The sequence below is a fragment of the Homo sapiens genome, chromosome 7 (genome assembly GCF_000001405.40).
Source record: "Homo sapiens chromosome 7, GRCh38.p14 Primary Assembly".
NCBI classification, from domain to species: domain Eukaryota; kingdom Metazoa; phylum Chordata; class Mammalia; order Primates; family Hominidae; genus Homo; species Homo sapiens.
Genome location: NC_000007.14, coordinates 67,571,474 through 67,590,785, shown reverse-complemented (window position 1 = coordinate 67,590,785; position 19,312 = coordinate 67,571,474). Strand labels below are relative to the sequence as shown.

At 44.5% G+C, this 19,312-nt stretch overlaps 1 long non-coding RNA gene across 1 annotated transcript in view; it reads left to right on the top strand.

Moving 5' to 3' along the window:
* The window catches only part of LOC105375340 (uncharacterized), a 32,332-nt gene extending 13,328 nt beyond the window's left edge, over positions 1 to 19,004 (top strand). Inside the window, exon 3 of the long non-coding RNA XR_001745238.2 lies at positions 18,754 to 19,004. This is a non-coding gene — a long non-coding RNA (uncharacterized LOC105375340). The remainder of the gene's footprint in view (positions 1 to 18,753) is intronic.
* Positions 19,005 to 19,312: the final 308 nt, after the last annotated feature.

The window sequence follows — 19,312 nt, the reverse complement described above, 5'->3', positions numbered from 1 at the left end:
AACCAAACACAACATATTCTCACTTATAAGTGGAAGCTAAACATTGGGTACACAAGGACATAAAGATGGGAGCAAGAGATACGGGGGAATACAAGAGTAGGGAGAGAAAGGAGGGAGCAACTATTGAAAAACTACCTGTTGGGTACTATGCTTACTTCCTGGATGATGTGTTCAATCGTACTTTAAACCTCAGCCACAATATACCTTTGTAACAAACCTATACATGTACCCACAGAATCTAAAAGTTGAAAACAAATAAATAAACAAAATAAAATAAAATACGTTGCTTTATTTTTCCATACTATAAATAAATAAATGTATAAACATTAAAATAATTCGTGAATAGGGCAAATGTTATTTGCACACACAGACACACACACACATTTACACACACACATATGTATAAAGTCACCAAAAAAAGGCCGAAAAAAGTAATTAGGGATTGACTGATGGATGACATTGGCAATTGTAGCATCTAAGTGCTGAGCATTTAAACGAAAAGAAAGAGAAAAGTAAAAAAGTGGACAAGCGTTCATTCATTTCAGGGCATCAGAGAGGGCTTCTGGGAGGAGGTGATAAGTGAATGTGCTGTCAAAAGCATTAGTTTGTGCAAACAGTAGTCATTCCAAGAGCAGAAAAAGCACATGAAAAGTGATGCCTCTTTCGATTCTTGGCAGAACCAAATGAGATCTATCACTCGCACAGTGGGATCTCTCTCTCTCGGTCCCAGGAGAAGGGCCATCCACACCCACAAGGGAATCTACTCTCCCCTCTCAACACCCACTCAGAATACGCAAGATTCAGCTCAACTCCTCCACCATGAAGCCAACACGGACTCTCCCTGCTCTGAATTCTGTTGTGCTCCCAAACTGTTCCACACATCCTAAGAACTTAATTACACGCGGCTTTGTATTGCTTCCTAATTCAGGGTCCCCCAAGCCATTCTGTGGTTTACTAATCCCCTGAAATGCTCTGTGAACAAGAGTTTCCATGGTCAAATAATTCTGGGAAACATAGTCAACAATATCTGCCTTTTGAACATCACAATGCATGTGAGCTCATTAAAGACTCCGAGAAGCCCAGCAATTTTTAATTTTGTTTTGCCCAGTATGCTCTGCAAAATCATTTGTCCTTGTCCCCATGACTCTGTTTTTTTAAATATTATCACCAGTTAATATTTTGCAGTACTCATGTACTCCTGCTCCTTAGGGAGGGAAATGCTGACCGAATAGATTTACAAACCAAAGCCTTGTCTCCCAAAGAAGAATGTAGGCTCGTGGAGGGTAGGGTGTGCATTTGCAATTTCTTTTATCCCATCCCCTCACAGTGCCAAGCGCAGCACCTGACGATGCACCCTAATGGATCCTGTTGCCTTGACGACCAGCTTGGAGTTGCTATTTCAGGACTTTCTCTCCATCTTTGGAGCCCCAGGAAAGCAGCAAATGCCATAAGGCATTAGTCTGAGTGTGCTGCATTTTCAGCAAAGTGGCGTTAATAATGTTCGTGCATCTCATCAGCCAGGGCTCCGCAAGACAGGCAGTATGCGAGGCTTCCAGTGACATGTCACTGAAGCCACCTTCTCAAGCGCCCACTGCTCACAGTAACACTTGATTCTTTTTTTTTTTTTTCCAACTAATTTGGTAGTTGGGAAGTGACACTGCATTGTTTACAGCCCCTCGTTCTTGGAGGTAATATGACCCCTCCAGTGAGAACCTCCCATCTGGGTAGTGCCATCTGTTTTTGTCACCATGAACAGCTCCTCTGTGCTTGTGGAGCACTTTACAGGGACGTCAAAGCCCAGGGGTAGTCTCCGTGCCTCTAATCATAAGAAGAGCACAATTGCTACCTGGTACCAGGGCTACCTGGTACCAGGGAAGAGAAGCACAGACGAGGTTTCCTCCCTCCTCAGCTAAGTGCCAGTGGCAGCTCCCGCTACCAGGAATCCCATCTGTCTCCCTTCTGGTCTGTTGTGAGCCCATGGGCCCTGCCTGGGATTGAGAGAGGCCCAAAGCTCTTCCCTAATAGCACCAATCTGCCAACAAAGCTGAAAGAGACAGACTTGGCCTACGAGTGAAGGAGGGATCTATGGGCTGGTTGAGTTGAAACAAAGGAAGAGCTACACTGGGCAGATAGCAATGTCTGTGACTGACTTCCATCATGGGTTGTGTTTACTTCTTCAGTGACCTTCCAGGTGTCTAGCTCACTGTTGGTGCCACTGTGTACACTTGTTCTAGTTAACTTTTACTCCATAACAAACTATTCCAAAACAGAGAGGCTTTAAACAACAATCACTTGCTTTGCTCACTAATGTTCAATGTGGGCAGGGCTCAGAGGGGATGGCTCATCTTGGTTCCAGGAAGCATAAGGTGAAGCAGCTCCACTGGGGCTGGAGGATTCAAGATGGTGCACTCACTTGGCTGGCAAGATGGTGCTGGTTGTTGACTGGTAGCTCAGCTAGGGCTTTCATCTGAGGGCCTTGGTTCCTTTCCACATGGGCCTCACAGCTTCCTCATAGCATAGTGGCTGCTTGAGCTTCCTCATAGCATGGTGGCTCAGGACAGTCCAAGTATTCCAAGAGCAAGGAATGAAAATTGCTATTCTCTTAAGACCTGGGCCTGGAAACTGGCACAGCATTACGTCCACATATTCCATTGTTCAACCAATCACATAGCCTTCCCAGATACAAGGGGAGGTGTCACAGACCCCAACTCTTAATGGGAAAAGTTTCAAAGAATTGTTGTCATCTCTAATTTACTTCAGTGCTTGACACTGTTAGGTGGCTTATAACAAACTCTTGCTTTGGTCCATGTGACCTGGTACAAACCAAAGCTATGTTGTTGGTTCTTAGCACAAATCTCCACCTCTCAGCAGGAAGGAAGGAAAGAGGGAGGGAGGGAGGGAAGGAAGGAAGGAAGGAAGGAAGGAAGGATCATTTATTAAGAATCCATCATGAACCATTCACCATGATCAGGTCTTCCAAAACATCTTCTCATATATTTCTCACAATGACCCTGGCAGTAGAGATTTGCTCTCTCATTCTACACATAAGAAGAATGGGCTCAGACAAGTTAAAAAATTTCCAAGGTCACACAGCTAGGAATGTGTAGTCAGGATTTGAACCCAGATCTGTTTGGCTCCCAAGGCTGTGCTTATCCTACTTTGTCAGGGACTTCTTAAGCCTACCTGAGCCATAACATCAGTTGAGTTCATGTTGGGGCTCTCTACCATGGACCATCCATCAGTGCATCTCTGAGAGGTGGCTTGGTCCACACAAGGAGTGCCAGGGCCTCTCCTTGGCTCCTCTCGTCAGATCCTCCTTGCTATTCATTGTTCTAGGGACACCTGTTGCTCGTGTTCTGTGGTGAAGGTAGTTGCCACAATTTCACTGCTGGCCTGGCATCTGGTATGCATGGGGTATGCTTTCCATGCCCTTAGAGCGCACTTTCTCCCCACCACCCCATATATGGGTCTGGTATCTGCTTCAAGGTCCCCACTTAGCCCTTGACTTCTAGTTCTCAGACTGAAGCCCTTCACTGCCCTCCAACCTTCCTGCCCAGATCTTCCCAGCATCCTCCCAGCTATGCTGCCTATACTTTTAGCACCTGGCTGGGCCCAATGGACAAGGCACTCACAAAACCTACAATGATGCCTGGAGACCTGGCATGCTACATGCTGCTTGAAGTCTCCTGACCTTCAGACTCACTACCAGCTTATAGCCTATTCCACAGATCTCTGCATCTGCCCCAGCTCTATCTGACCTCTCTATATTACACCTGACCCCATACTACACCTGACCTCCCTCTACCCACACCTGCCACTCCAACCCATGCACAAGATCCTCTGTCCAGCCTCCTCTGCAAAGTCTGCCAAATGCTCCCAGTCCCCAGCCAACCTGGCCACCCAGCCTAGTCTCAGCATTCCACATGGAAATGGAAAATGGCAGAGGTGGGGGAGCAAATATATCAAACTCATCAAAGCATTTCTGAGCTGCAAACTCATAACTCCCAGCCCCCACACCACTGGATGACCCCCCACAGAGATTCTGACAGCCCCCTCATTCTACCAATTGCTCCCCCCTCTCCTGGGTTCTCTCCCTTTCCAAATTCTTTATGGCCCATCCTACTTGACTTTCCAGTCTCTCCCATCCTACAGTCTCTTCCTTCAACTACATAGCCTATAGTTTTTTCTTCTGAGCCAAAATTGCAGAAACATTCTCTGTGCTGTGTCTCTAGTTGCCAATTTTCTATCTACTCCCAAATCCACTTCAGTCTATCTCCCTTCCCTTTACTGAAATCATTCCTGTCAAATCACCAATGGCCATGTACTGCTAAATCCAAAAGATGCTTCTCTCTCTGTCTTTCTAGAAGTCGTATGCAGTGATGATTCTCCCTCCTTCTCTGCACCTCTCCTTCCTTGACTGCTGGGACATGACAACCCCACCTCAGTTTCACCACTCTCTTTCTCTCTCTCCATCCTCTTCCTTTGCCCAACCTCAAATGCCCTTTTCCCAGTATCCACTCCTCAACCTCTCTCTCTTCTCACTCTATGCACTTACCCTTCCCAAATCCTGAGTGATGACATCTCCCAACTCCACATCCCCAGCCCTGATCACTGCTGAGTTCCAAAACCAGGTAGCCATATCACCAAATCCCCTTAGAGTCAACATTTTTCCCTGTCTCTGGGGATGCCCCATAATCTATCTGACTGCCCAAGCCAGAGTCCTTAACTCCTCCTTCTCCATCAACCCCACATCTCACTAGGTACCAAGTCCAGCCAATGCTACTTCCTGTCTCTAGAATTGTAACCGCCCATTGGGTTCACCTTGCCTGCTGCCTAGACAAAGCTGGTTTATCAAGACAGGGGAATTGCAATAGAGAAAGAGTAATTTACACAGAGCTAGCTGTGCAGGAGATCAGAGTTTTATCACTATTCAAATCAGTCTCCCTGAGCATTCAGGAATCAGAGATTTTAAAGATAATTTGGCAGGTAGGGGCTTGGGAAGTGGGGAGTGCTGATTGGTCAGATTGGAGGTGGAATCATAGTGGATCGAAGTGAGTTTTCTTCCTGTCTTCTGTTCCTGGGTGGGATGGCAGAACCGGTTGAGCCAGATTACCTGTCTTGGTGGTGTCAGCTGATCCATCCAGTGCAGGGTCTGTACAATATCTCAAGCACCAATCTTAGGTTTTACAATAGTGATGTTGTCCCCAGGAGCAATTTGGGGAGGTTCAGACTCTTGCAGCCAGAGGTTGCATGGCCCCTAAATGTCATTTCTAATCTTGTAGCTAATTGGTTAGTCCTGCAGTAGCTAATTTGTTAGTCCTGCAAAGGCAGACTGGTCCCTAGGTAAGAAGGGGGTCTTTTCAGGAAAAGGCAATTATCAACTTTGTTTCAGAGTCAAATCATGAGCTGAACTACTTCCCAAAGCTAGTTCCGCCTACATCCAGGAATGAACAAGGACAGTTTAAAAGTTAGAAGCAAGATGGAATCGGTTAGGTCTGATCTCTTTCACTGTCATAATTTTTTCAGTTATAATTTTACAAGGGCGGTTTCAGAATCAGACCTCCAGATTCCATCTCCATGGCCACTACCTTTGTTCTCAAGTCTTGTCATCTTTGGAGCCAAGTTCCTATAAAAACTCACATGGTTCCCTCTCCACCATTGCCAGGGACCTCTTGCTAAAAAGGCCAATATGATCATCCCACTCCCAACTTAAATCCATCAACAGCTCTGTTAGAGGAAAGAGTCCCAATCCAGACCGCAAGAGAGGGTTCTTGGATCTGATGCAAGAAAGAATTCAGGGTGAGTCCATAGAGTAAAGTGAAAGGAAGTTTATTAGGAAAGTAAAGGAATAAAAGAACAGCTACTCCACAGATAGAGCAGACCCAAGGGCTGCTGGTTGCCCATTTTCATGGTTATTTCTTAATGATATGCTAAACAAAGGGTGGATTATTCATGTCTCCCCTTTTTAGACCATATAGGGTAACTTCCTCATGTTGCCATACCACTTGTAAACTGTCATGGTGCTGGTGGGAATGTAGCAGTGAGGATGACCAGAGGTCACTCTCGTCACCATCTTGGTTTTGGTGGGTTTTGCCTGACTTCTTTATTGCAATCTGTTTTATCAGCAAGGTCTTTATGACCTGTATCTTGTGCTGACCTCCTATCTCACCCTGTGACTTAGAATGCTTTAACTGTCTGGGAATGCAGCCCAGTAGGTCTCAGCCTCATTTTACCTCCCATTCAAGATGGAGTTGCTCTGGTTCAAATGCTTCTGACAGCCGCATGACAGGTTTAAGGAAAAATTCCAAAATCTCCATGACCTGAACCTTGAATGTCTCTCCAGCCTCCTGATCCCCTCACTAATTGCTCAGTGTGTCCACCCCACCTTTATCTGCAGTGGCTTTTGCCAGAAATGTCTTCTTCTGTCTCCTCCAACTCCTCTCCCCTTGCCTCCACCTGCTTTACTGTTAATAATTTTCTCAGATTGTAACAAAAAGAGTAGCTCCTCCAGAAATGCTTGCAGGCTGTCTGCATTTCCTCTGTCCAGGCTCAGTTGTGCTGAGTGACCATCTGCTTAGGTATGCATCTCCCAAAGGAGACTGAGTCCCTGAGAGCAGAAACTACCCATTGCATAGTATTGCACTCACAGATGTTCAGTGAGGGTCAGAAGTATGAATGAAGGGATACAGGAGCACAATAAATCACATGCAATCCTGCAATGCAAAAGGGACCTTGCCATGAAGACTCAGCAACCTGTATTAAACTGCCTTAGCCAACATTAAAACAGTGAGAAAATTACAGCAGTGAAAGAGATCTGATTTAACACACCCCCATCTTGGCTTTTCCTTTATTATTTTTGGGCTTTTAGGCCTAGCTGACTTTGAAAGATATTGAGGTTGAAGTTTAAATGGTAATAGGCCTTCCCCCAAACTCAACTACCTCTGTAAAGCTAATGAAAATCCACCAGGCTAGGGGGAGGAGAGGAGCCCGAATTCTGCTAAGATGTAGACATAGGTTGCCAGACTTTTCCTGCAGATAACACCACTGTTGTAGATTGGCCTTTTGAGATACCTTTTGAGGTTTTTTGCATGTCTGACACTATGGCTCCACTTGGAATCAATGACTCCTGTGGCTCACATGGGAGCAACTCAACTCAAAAAGACAGTTTCAACCCCCTGTGATTTCATCTCCACCCCAACCAATCAGCAGAAAGCACCTATTTCCTAGCTACCCCTGCTCCTTCCCCCAAACTGCCTTTGAAAAACCCCTAATTATGAGCCTTCAGGGAGATTGATTTGAGTAGTAACCAGTCTCTCATGTGGTGTGGCTGGCCTTCTGTCAATTAAACTCTTTCTTTACAGCAATGTCATGGTCTTTATTTGTGCAGCAGGCAGGAAGAACCCAGCAGACAGTTACATGTAGAGGTAAAGTTGCCAATGCCTCCTCCAATTCCAGTAACCTTGTGAAGATTCTCCCTTGTTTTTAGCTCTTGTCTCATTGTTAATTCTCCTGGCCACTATTACGGGCTGGGAAGGGATGGAGAGGAAAACATAGCAGAAAGTGTCAGTCACTCCTCTCCTCTGGAGACATTTGCTGCAAAATGGCATTGTCACTCCCAATTTGAGCTGTTTGCCCTAGTTCAGCATATCTAGGGGCAGTAGCCCTGAAAGGAAGCCCAAGAGGCAGATAAATACAAGTCCTTCTTCCCAGAGATGCTCTAAACAAAAGCATCTCTCTCCCTTTCAATCTCTCTCACTCTTTCTCTTTTTCCTCCTCTCTACTCTAAATGGGAACCAAGAATTCCCTTCTGGTCTATCCCTGGCCCTATTAGAGGCAGGAAGCCTATATTTATCTTGCACTTCCATGAACAGGCACCCAAATAGGCATGTCTGTACCCTGAGTCATTTCTCTTCACAGGATACTTTTTTTTTGTAAGACAGGGTCTCACTTTGTCACCCAGGCTAGAGTGCAGTGGAATGATCATAATTCATTGCAGCCTCCAACTCCTGGTCTTAAGGGACCCTCCCACCTCAGCCTCCCAGGTAGTTGGGACTACAGGCATGCACTACCATGCTGGGTTAATTTATCTTTTTAGATATGGAGTCTTGCTATGTTGCTCAGGATGGTCTCAAACTCCTAGCCTTAAACAAATCCTACTGCCTCAGTTGTCTCCACAGGATTCTTAAGAAGCAGGGATCCTTAGGCCCATTTGAGAGTTGAGCTGAGTTTCGGACAGATTGTGTTATCTTGTCCAAAGTCATAAGGTTACGGGGTGGCAGGCCAGGCCCAAGAGCCCAAGTTAATCTACTTCTCAAGCCTACACTCTCCATTTCACCTCCTAAGTCATACTTCATGTAACTGAACCATCTCAGGCCTTTTCAACCTCTGATTTCACTGAAGTCACTTAAATTTTTTTTTTTTTTTTGAGACGGAGTTTTGTTCTTTCACCCAGGCTGGAGTGTAGTGGTGCGATCTTGGCTCGCTGCGACCTCTGCCTTTTGGTTTCAAGCAATTCTCCTGCCTCAGCCTCCCGAGCAGCGCGTTATAGGTGCCTGCCAACAAGCCCAGCTAATTTTTGTATTTTTAGTACAGATTGGGTTTCACCATGTTGACCAGGCTGGTCTCGAACTCCTGACCTCGTGATCCGCCCACATCGGCCTCCCAAAGTTCTGGGATTACAGGCGTGAGCCACCGTGCCTGGCCCAGTCACTTTAATATGAATGCCAAAACACTACTTCTCTTAATCTCCACTGGCATTCATGGTATCCCAGAGCTGACCTCCTAACAATCTTTCCAAAATAAGTCTGAAGTTTCCCACGGGATTGGGGGGTGTCATAAGCAGATTACCACCAACATCCAAATGCATGATACTGCCACATCCAACTGTTTAAACATGGTGCCATCATCCTACAGGCAAACGTGGACCTCTGGACAATCCTCCAAATCTGGGAGGCTTGAGTGGTGGGCAGGGGAGGTTGAAATAAGCCAGAAGGTATTTGAATTCCAATTCCAGCTGTTCTCAGGTGCAAATCACAGAGGCTCATTGGGCCTTATCTTCCTCTTCTACACAATGGTTGTGGCAGAGGTGTTCTAACCAGAGTGACTCCATCTTGAGTGAGGGCTAGGAAAATGAGGCTGGGACCTGCTGGGCTGCATTCCCAGAAAGTCAGGCATTCCTAGCTTCTAGATATTTATGGTTAAGAGAACAAATTCATAATGTTTACTAAACAGACCCAGACTTGGGAGTGTCCAGATATCCTGATATCTGGACAAAGGCATTCCTAATTTTGCTTTAAAGATAATAATATTAATTCTGGAAAAATATAGTAATTAAGAAAATTTATCCTTTATCACAAACCCTTATAGCAGAGAACATCTCCCCATACATACGAGTATTGTACCTAGGGTGGACGCATTCCTCCTCTTACTTTCAGGAACACCCTACTCTGTCTATGGAGTAGCTGTATTTTCATCACTTTACTTTCTTAATAAACTTGCTTTTACTTTGCACTGCAAACTCACTCTGAATTCTTTCTTGTGTGAGATCCAAGAACCCTCTCTTGAGGTCTGGATTGGGACTCCTTTCCTGTAACAGTTGGGTGTGGGAGCAATAATAGAACCTCCTTCTAGTTTACAAAAGACTAGTATTGTGCCTAGAATATGGTACAGACTAAGTAAATAAGAACCCTTATTTTAATTATTATTACCTTCATTGCTTCTATTAAATTACAGGAAAACAGGCAGAGGTACTAAGGCTGTTTTTAATATATAAAGTAATCGGCCCAGATGTGACAATGCTTTGGATATGGCTATGGATTGAGTGCATTCCTCCAAAATTCATGTGTTGGAAACTTGGTTGGGATCCCACAGCAGTGCTAAGAGGTAAAACCTTTAGCAGGTGAATAGGACATGCATAAGGGCAGAACTCTCATGAATAGATTAATGCATTCATGAATTAAGAAATTAATAGGTTAATGGGTTATCAAAAGAGTGAGTTACTTGTCACAAGAGTGGGTCTATTATAAAAGTCACTTTAGTCCTCTTTTGTGAGCCCCCTAATCTTGTGATGCCTTGTGCTGCTTTGGAACTCGGCAGAGAGTCCACACCAGCAAGAAATTTCTCACAAGATGAAGTCACTCATCCTTGGACTTCCCAGCCCCAAGAACTGTAAGAAATAAATTTCTGGCTGGGTGTGATGGCTCATCATTTAAACATGGTGCCATCATTCTACAGGCCAACATGGACCTCTGGACAATCTTCCAAATCTGGGAGACTTGGGTGGTGGGCAGGGGAGGTTGAAGTAAATCAGACAGGTATTTGAATTCCAATTCCAGCTATTCTCAGGTGCAAATCACAGAGGCTCGCTGTAATCCCAGTGCTTTGGGAGTCTGAGTTAGGAGCATCACTTGAGGTCAGGAGTTCCAGACCAGCCTGGGAAACATGGTGAGACCTCATCACTACAAAAAAGTTAAAAACGAAAAAACTAGCCAGATATGGTGGCATAAATCTGTACTCCCAGCTACTTGGCAGGCTGAGGCAGGAGGATCGCTTGAGCCCAGAAGTTCAAGGGTGGAGAGAGCTATGATCACACCACTGCACTCTAGCCTGGGCTACAGAGAAAGACTGCATCTCAAAAAAAAAAAAAAAAAGGAAGAAAGAAATTTATTTTCTTCATAAATTAGCTAGTCTCAGGTGTTCAGTTATAGCAACAGAAAACAGACTAAGATGGATATCAAGCCATTACCAAAATATCCTGCACTGATCGGCTGCCCCTTGTTAAAATAGCATTTTTCACAAGCAGGCAGAAGCAGGAGGGGGTGGCTTACTGGTCAGTTAGGATTTGTAAATAGATTGAGCTGTTCCCACTGCTCACTTTCTGAAATTCAATGCCTGAAAGTACAGGTATAAGTTGCTGGCATTGCAGCTGTACTCAGTCCTTCCAGGTCTGTAGTCATGACCTCCAGATTTGACAACCACCAATTTCCAGCTCATCCCTGCCTTGGACTTCTCTCTAGTGCAACCAATAACCACAACTCACAGTTCTGATTCTTCCTTCCTTGGGGACCTTCTATTGATTGCCCTTCTTTGCTTATGCCAGTCTCTCCTCTGCTTCCAGTATCCCCATTCTCCAGGGATCTAATTCACCTGAGGAACATAAAAAATGAAGAATATCCCTAATATGAACTGAATCAGAGTCTCATTAGATGGACTCCAGGATCTAGTCTCAAGAAGTCCTCCTTAGCCTACCAAAGTTTAGGGGCCACATTTAAAAACCCAGCCTATCTTTCAAGAACCAGTTGAAGTCTCACCTCTTTCAGGAAGCCCTCCCTGATTGCAGTGGGCTGTCTCTTTTTTGCATCAGAGAACAGGTAGTTGTATTAGTCTATTCTCACATTGCTATAAAAAACTACCTGAAACTGGGTAATTTTTTTTTTTTTTTGAGACAGAGTCTGTCTCTGTCGCCCAAAGGCTGGGGAGCAATGGCACGATCTCGGCTCACTAAAACCTCTGCCTCCCGGGTTCAAGCAATTCTCCTGCCTCAGCCTCCCAAGTAGCTGAGACTACAGGCGTGCACCACCACACCCAGCTCAATTTTTGTATTTTTAGTAGAGACGGGGTTTCACCATTTTGGCCAGGATGCTTTCGATCTCTTGACCTCACGATCCGCCTGCCTCAGCCTCCTAAAGTGCTGAGATTACAGGAGTGAGCCATCATGCCCGGCCAAAACTGGGTAATTTATAAAGAAAAGAGATGTAATTGACTCACAGTTCCACAGGACGTACAGGAAGCATGGCTGAGGAGGCCTCAGGAAACTTTTAATCATGGCATAAGGCAAAGAGGAAGCACACATGTCTTACATGGCTGGAGCAGGAGGAAGAGAGAGCAAAAGTTGGTGGGGGGGGGGTGTTACACACTTTTAAACAACCACATTTCATGAGAACTCACTTGCTATCACAAGAACAGCAAGGGGGAAATTCGCTCCCATGATCCAATCAGCCCCCACCAGGCCCCTCCTCCAACACTGGGGATTATGACTGGGCATGAGATTTGGGCAGGGACACAAATCCAAACCATATCAGTAGTCATAGCATGAAACAGTGCCATAATCGTTACTTATGTCTGCCATGAGAGAAGAAATAGGGGAATAATGTCTCCCATACCAAGCAACTGTTATTCCTGGGCTAGGTGATCACTGTGGATCTTTCAGGGGCATGTGTGTGTGTGTGAGAGAGAGAGAGAGACAGAGAAAGACAGAGACCACTACCTTATCTTCCCTATTAAATACAGCATGAACCCTGCCTCAAAATATTTCAGCTGCCATCTATCATTGTAGTCTTATTTCTTCTTGTCTTACAAACTTTTGGTCCTCTTGAATCCTAGACTACAATACGAAAATCCCCAATAGGTGTCATAATCTGACCTTTTCTCAGTTAATGCCAAATATACCCAGTTAAGTGAGGGCCTCTCAACTCATTAGCATATTGCTATGGACTGAATTATCTCCCCACCACCCCCAAAAAATTCCTATGCTGAAGCTCAAACCCCTAACGTGACTGTATATAGAGATGAGGCTTTTAGGGGGTAATTAAGATTAAGTGAGGTCATAAGGGCACAATCCTAATCCTATAGGGTTAGTGATTTTATTAAAAGAAAAAGAGAGAGCTTGTTATCTCTTCTCTCTCTCTCTCTCTCTCTCTCTCTCTCCACTAGGTAAAGACATAGCAAGAAGGCAGCTGTCTGCAAGCCAGGAAAAGAGCCCTCACAAGAACCTAACCATACTGAGAAACCTCATCTGTCTTCCAGCCTCCAGAATTGAAAAAAAAAAAAAAAAAGATGACTTCCTATTGTATAAGCCACTCCATTTATGGTATATTTTATGGCAGTCTGAACTGCTGTAAAATATGTTTATACATTATAAACATCTTTTTTTTTCATTGGTATTACAACTCCTCTGTCAAGACCCCTTCTTTCCCTGGGTTGTAGGCTGCTCTTTTCATATAATGTCATTTAATTTTATAATTTTTGATTCGGCTTCATCTAATAAAACAACCTTGTTCATGTTTTCAGGTGGTCCTATTTGTTCTACAATTTTAACCTTGTATTTGATGCTAAACTCTTTCTCTCCCCTCTTGGTGCCAGCTGGACTGGAGACTTAAGAGTTTTGGGGTGGCAGGGGTTCTGTTCTCTCAGATGGGCCACAATCTAGCCTCTTCCTGCTGGGGTTTTCTTGTCCTTAGGTGGCCCCAGAGGATATTGGTATCACCATGATATCTTACCCTTGACTATGGAGGAATCTCATCCCTGCCAGGCCAAATGGCAAGACTGCCACCGCCCTCCACACCCTTCCTCCGGGTGCTCCCTGCTCTTCTGCTTTCTTGACTTCCTCTCTCTCCTTGTCCCACCACACCAGGAGGCTCTACCAGTCAGCAGGTGGGCAGGTAAGAGATAGGTTCTAGGTTCTGTCTGAATGGTGGGAGGTATAGTTCATACACCAAAATCACACAGCAAAGGAGATAAAGGGCAAGCCCATGGGAAAGTGACTGCTCCTTCCCCCAAAACTTTCTGTTCTACCAAAAGATTCCATCCTCATGGCAGTGGCTGGGGCCTTCACAGTGTTGGGAAGCCAGAGGCTCTGCAGGAGGCCAGTACCCTGCCCCACTCCACTCCCATATCAGAGTGTCTCTGGGTCTTCTGGCTAGAGTGGCCTTGAGTATGTGTATTAAAGAAACTTAAATTTGTCTGGGCACAGTGGGTCCTACCTGTAATCCAAACACCTTGGGAGGCCAAGGCAGGAGGATCACTTGAGGCCAAGAGTTCAAGATCCGCCTGGGCAACATAGTGAGACGTCATCTCTACTAAAAATAAAATAAAAATTAGTTGGGCATGGTGGCATGAGACTGTAGTCCCAGCTACTCAGGAGGCTGAGGCAACGGGATCACTTGAGCCCAGAAGATCAAGTCTGCGGTGAGTTATGATCTCACCACTGCACTCTGGTCTGGGCAATACAGCAAGACCTTGTCTCAAAAAATAAATAAAGCCAAAAACCTTGCAAGAAAATCTATAAGACCCAATGTATAATTTGGGAGTTAACCTAGACTGGAAATGCAAAAGCTGTAAAATAAAGACATGTTTATTTAACTATGTAAAACTTAGAACTTAAATGTGCAAGAAGAACCATAAATTAAGTCAAAGAACCATAAATTAAGAGATGATAGATCTGGAGAAGCACTTTCCTGATGTGACACAAAGGATTAATATCTGTAACATACAAAGAACTCTTGGGAATTTACAAGAAAAGATAAACACCGTAGTATAAAAATGGAGCCAACCATACATGTATAGACAATTCATATAAGAGCAAATCTACATGGCCGTAAATGTATGAAAAGATGCTCACATTGGCTGCTAGTCAGAGATATGCAAATTAAAGTCACAGTGAGATATCACTTTATACCCCTCAGAGTGGAAATCCCCAGAAAGGGTGACAGCACCTACTACTGAGAGAAGGCATCACCTTTAACATGAGAAAAGCAACCTGGTAATACTTATTGCAAAATTAATTAGTTTATTTGTTTATTTATTTATTTTGAGATGGAGTGTCACTCTGTCACCCAGGCTGGAGTGCAGTGGTGCAATCTTGGCTCACTGCAACCTCCACCTCCCGGGTTCAAGCACTTCCCCTGCCTCAGCCTCCCAAGTAACTGGGATTACAGGTGTGTGCCACCACGCCTGGCTAATTTTTTGTATTTTTAGTAGAGATGGGGTTTCACCATGTTGGCCAGGCTGGTTGCAAAGTCCTGGCTTCAAATAATCTGCCTGCCTCAGCCTCCAAAAGTGTGAGGGTTACAGGCATGAGCCACTGCAACCATCCTATTGCAAAATATAAAATCAGATAACTGGTGATCAAGATTTCTACTCTGAAAATCTATGCCAGATAAATGGAAGCAACAATCAGTCAACTGCAGCGTTCTTCATATGACAAAAAGCTGGACATAGAATGGATGCCCAGAAATGCAAGGACAGCTGAATAAATGATGGTCCATCTACACCACAGAATAGTATGCAACCATTAAAAAGAGAAGATCAGACCAGGCATGGGGGTTTATGCCTACAGTCTCAACACTTTGTGAGGTTGAGGCAGGAGGATCACTTGAGGCCAGGAGTTTGAGACCAGCTTGGGCAACATAGCAAAGCTCCATTTCTATCAAAAAAAGAAAAAAAGTTAAAAATTAGCCAGGCTCAGTGGTGCATGCCTGTAGTCTCATCTACTCAGAAGGCTGAGGTAGGAGGATTGCTTGAGTCCAGGAGGTCAAAGCTGCAGTGAGCCATGATCATCCCACTGCACTCCAGCCTGGGCAAGAGTGAAAGAACTGCCTCTGAAAATAATAAAGAGAGAAAAGATCAGAGTCATAGCAGATGACTTCAAGCAGTTTTCCTGAATCTTTTCTTCATAGTCATCCCCTCCATGAAATTTTAATCCCACAGAAACACTGCACATCTGTTTATTTCCTCAAATGGAATCGAGCCTTGGAAGACCACAGGCCATTGTAAAACTTCTTTCACCTCCCAAGAATCAATGATCATAACCTTGGGATCAGTGTTGCCCCCATTGAGAAAGCATGGTTTAGAGGATTTCCACAAGGCTCTGTAGAGTAAGACTGAAAATCACTTACAAAAAGATATCATTGGCCAGGCGCAGTGGCTCATGCCTGTAATCCCAGCACTTGGGGAGGCCAAGGCAGGCAGATCACAAGGCCAGGAGTTTGAGAACAGACTGACCAACACAGTGAAACCCCGTCTCTACTAAAAATACAAAAATTAGCTGGGCATGGTGGTGCGTGCCTGTAGTTCCAGCTCCTCGGGGGGCTCAGGCAGGAGAATCTCTTGAACCCAGGAGGCAGAGGTTGCAGTGAGCCAAGATCGCACCACTGCACTCCAGCCTGGGTGACTGAGCGAAACTCCATCTCAAAAATAAATAAATAAATGTCATTATTTGTAAAATAGTGATTTGAAAAACCTGTAGAAATTTGTGTGTAAATCATCTGTATAAAATTAGATAAATACAGAGACCCTTGGGAGACCACATGTGGGTTAGTAATGTCAGGGTTGTAAGAATTAAAGAGAAAAGAAACATGAAAGGTGGCTCACCAGTCAAGACAGGTTTATTTTAGAGAAAACAAACCTGACACGAGCTTCTGGCCAAGTTAGGTCAGAGGCACACTTTCTTACAGACTAAGAGTTTTTAAGGATTCAAGGCAGGAGAATTTATTAGTGGCTTGGACTGCTTCTGTGTCTCTTTTTGTGCTTATTTTGGGAGGGACAGTTGTGTGTCTGTTTCCATACATTTTCCTGCAGCTGCAGGCATATGCCCCAAGTCTGCTTTTAGCTTCCCTATATTAGTGCACCTGAAGGGAAAGGAATGGGCTTCTTAAGACCCACTATTTCACTGGGGCCCATTGTATGAGGGTGAAGTTTGGCAGTTACCCAAGAGACTTCCTCCTGGGTAGGAGGAGACTCTGTGCCTGAGCTGTCTTATCTGTGTTTTACTGTCTGCTTTATCTGGCTGCTTGTAGTTAGAAGAGAAGTGATTTCCTTGAAATGCATGACGCTACATTTTTTTTTTATTTTCCTTTAAGTTCTGGGATACATGTGCAGAATGTGAGGTTTGTTACATAGATATACATGTGCCATGGTGATTTGCTGCACCTATCAACCCATCATCTAGGTTTTATGCCCCACATGCATTAGGTATTTGTTCTAATGCTCTCCCTCCCCTTGCTCCCACCCCCCCGACTGGCCCTGGTGTGTGATGTTCCCCTCCTTGTGTCCACGTGTTCTCATTGTAGCCTTGAGCATTCTTTAGAAAAATTGCACATGTAGCTAACTTGAAGTTACCTATGGTCCAGCTATATCTTTATCTCTCTGAAAAGAAAGAGGAAAGAAACACAAAAGGTGGCTCACCAGTTAAGACACGTTTATTTTACAGAAAACAAACCTGAGAGGAGCTTCTGGATGAGTTAGGTCAGAGGCACACTTTCTTAGTCTACTCTTTCCTAAATAGCCTACTCTTGAATAGTCTATTCTTTCCAGAATTCCATGCCTTTATGCACCCTGTTTCCTTGCCTCGGAGGCTGTGATGGTTGAATTGTGTCCTGCAAAATGCATATGTGAAAGACCTACGAATGACTTAATTTGGAGAAAGGGTCTTTGTAGAGGTAATCAAGATAAAATGAAGTCAGTAGAATGTGTCCCAGTCCAATACAACTAATGTGCTTTTATAGAAAGGCAAAATCTGGACACAGAGATAGGTGCAAATTCAGGGAAAATGATGCGAAGACAGAGGGAGGATCCCTAGTGAAGATTGAAGTTCTGCTACCACAAGCCCAGGAAGGAATTAACTGCAGCCAGGAGAGATCCCTGGACTACCATATCCCTCCAGCCTGGTGCCTTCAGAGGGAGCATAGCCCTGCCACCATACTTAATCTTAGACTTCTAGATGCCAGAACTGTGAAATGATCAATTACTCTCTTTTTTTTTCCAAAGTCTCCCTCTGTTGCCCAGGCTGGAGTGCAGTAGTGCAATCACAGCTCACTGCAGCCTCGAACTCCTGGACTCAAGTGATCCTCCCATCTCAGCTTCCTGAGTAGCTAGGACTACAGGCACACACCATCATGCCCAGCTAATTTTTTTTTTTTTTTTTTTTTTTTTTTTTTTTTTTTTTTTGAGACAGAGCCTCACTCTGTCACCCGGGCTTGAGTGCAGTGGTGCAATCTCAGCTCACCACAACCTCCACCTCCCAGGTTCAAGCAATTCTCCTGCCTCAGCCTCTCCAGTAGCTAAGATTATGGGCATGTGTCACTACATCTGGCTAATTTTTCTGTTTTTAGTAGAGACAGGGTTTCACCTTGTTGATCAGGCTGGCCTCAAACTCCTGACCTTAGGTGATCCACCTGCCTTAGCCTCCCAAAGTGCTAGCATTACAGGCACAAGCCAACATGCCCGGCCTCATGCCCAACTAATTTTAAAAACTTTTTTGTAGAGGTGGTATCTCACAATGTTGCCCAGGCTGGTCTCAAACTCCTAGACTCAAGGGATCCTCGCACCTCAACTTCCCAAACTGCTAGGCTTACAGGCATCAGGCACCGTGCCCAACCATGAGACAATACATTTCTGTTGTTTAAGCCACTAGTTTGTGATACTTTATTACATCCCTATGAAACAAATACCCTTTCCTTCTTATCTGGCTGGCAAACACCTATGCATCCTACAAGACCTATGTAAAATTTCATAACCTCGCAAAGACTTCCTGATATGGTTTGGTGCTGTGTCCGCACCCAAATCTCATCTCGAATTGTAATCCTTAGTTGTTGAGGGAAGGACTGGTGGGAGGCGATTAGATCATGGGGGTGGTTTCCCCCATGCTGTTCTCATAATAGTGAGTGAGTTCTCACAAGATCTGGTGGTTTAAAAGTTCTCTCTCTCCTGCCACCATGTAAGAAATACCTTACTGTCCCTTCATCTTCTGCCATGATTGACGGCTCACCAACCATGTTGAACTGTAAGTCAATTAACTCTCTTTCCTTCATAAATTACCCAGTCTCGGGTATGGCTTTATAGCAGTGTGAGAATAGGCTAATATGCTTCCCAAATTAACCACTCCCTCATCTTCTGTGTTTGGATATTTTGTTCATGCCCAGACTCCAGTACTTACATCTCTGATTTATTCCTTTCATTTTATCCCTTTTCTATCAGTTCTTGACCCCCTTGAAGGCAAGGACCACATCTGACTTATCTTCACATCCTCCATACCCTCAGCACTGAGCACAAAGTAAGTGGTTCACAAATATTTGCTAAATGAATGAAAAAACACATCTAAAATAGACCTTTCAACTTTATCAACTCAAAGCAGGAGGAGTCAACAGTGACCGCAGGAGGCTCTTTGGACAATAACTTTTCTGTCTTGGCAAAGCTCTTCAATGCTAACAAATTGACTTAATAGTGAAAATGTCTTTAATGGGGGCAATATGGCAAAAAGTAATTAACTCTCTAATTGAAATCTAGAACTTAGAAAGTAATTAATGGAAGGCCAAATTGTCCTTCACAGCAAGAGTGCTGGAATAAGCCAGCCAGCAGTGGTTCTGCAGCAGGGCTGGAGGAAGGTGTCATCTGAGAAAACCACATCACATCAGAGGGCAGGGCACACACATCTGGACGATGAGTGTTCCCCTTAATCAAGGCGGAGATGCCATCAACCAGGGCTGGCAGGTGCCACTTTGCTCTGTAAGAAGGAACATTTTTTTTTTAATAGGCA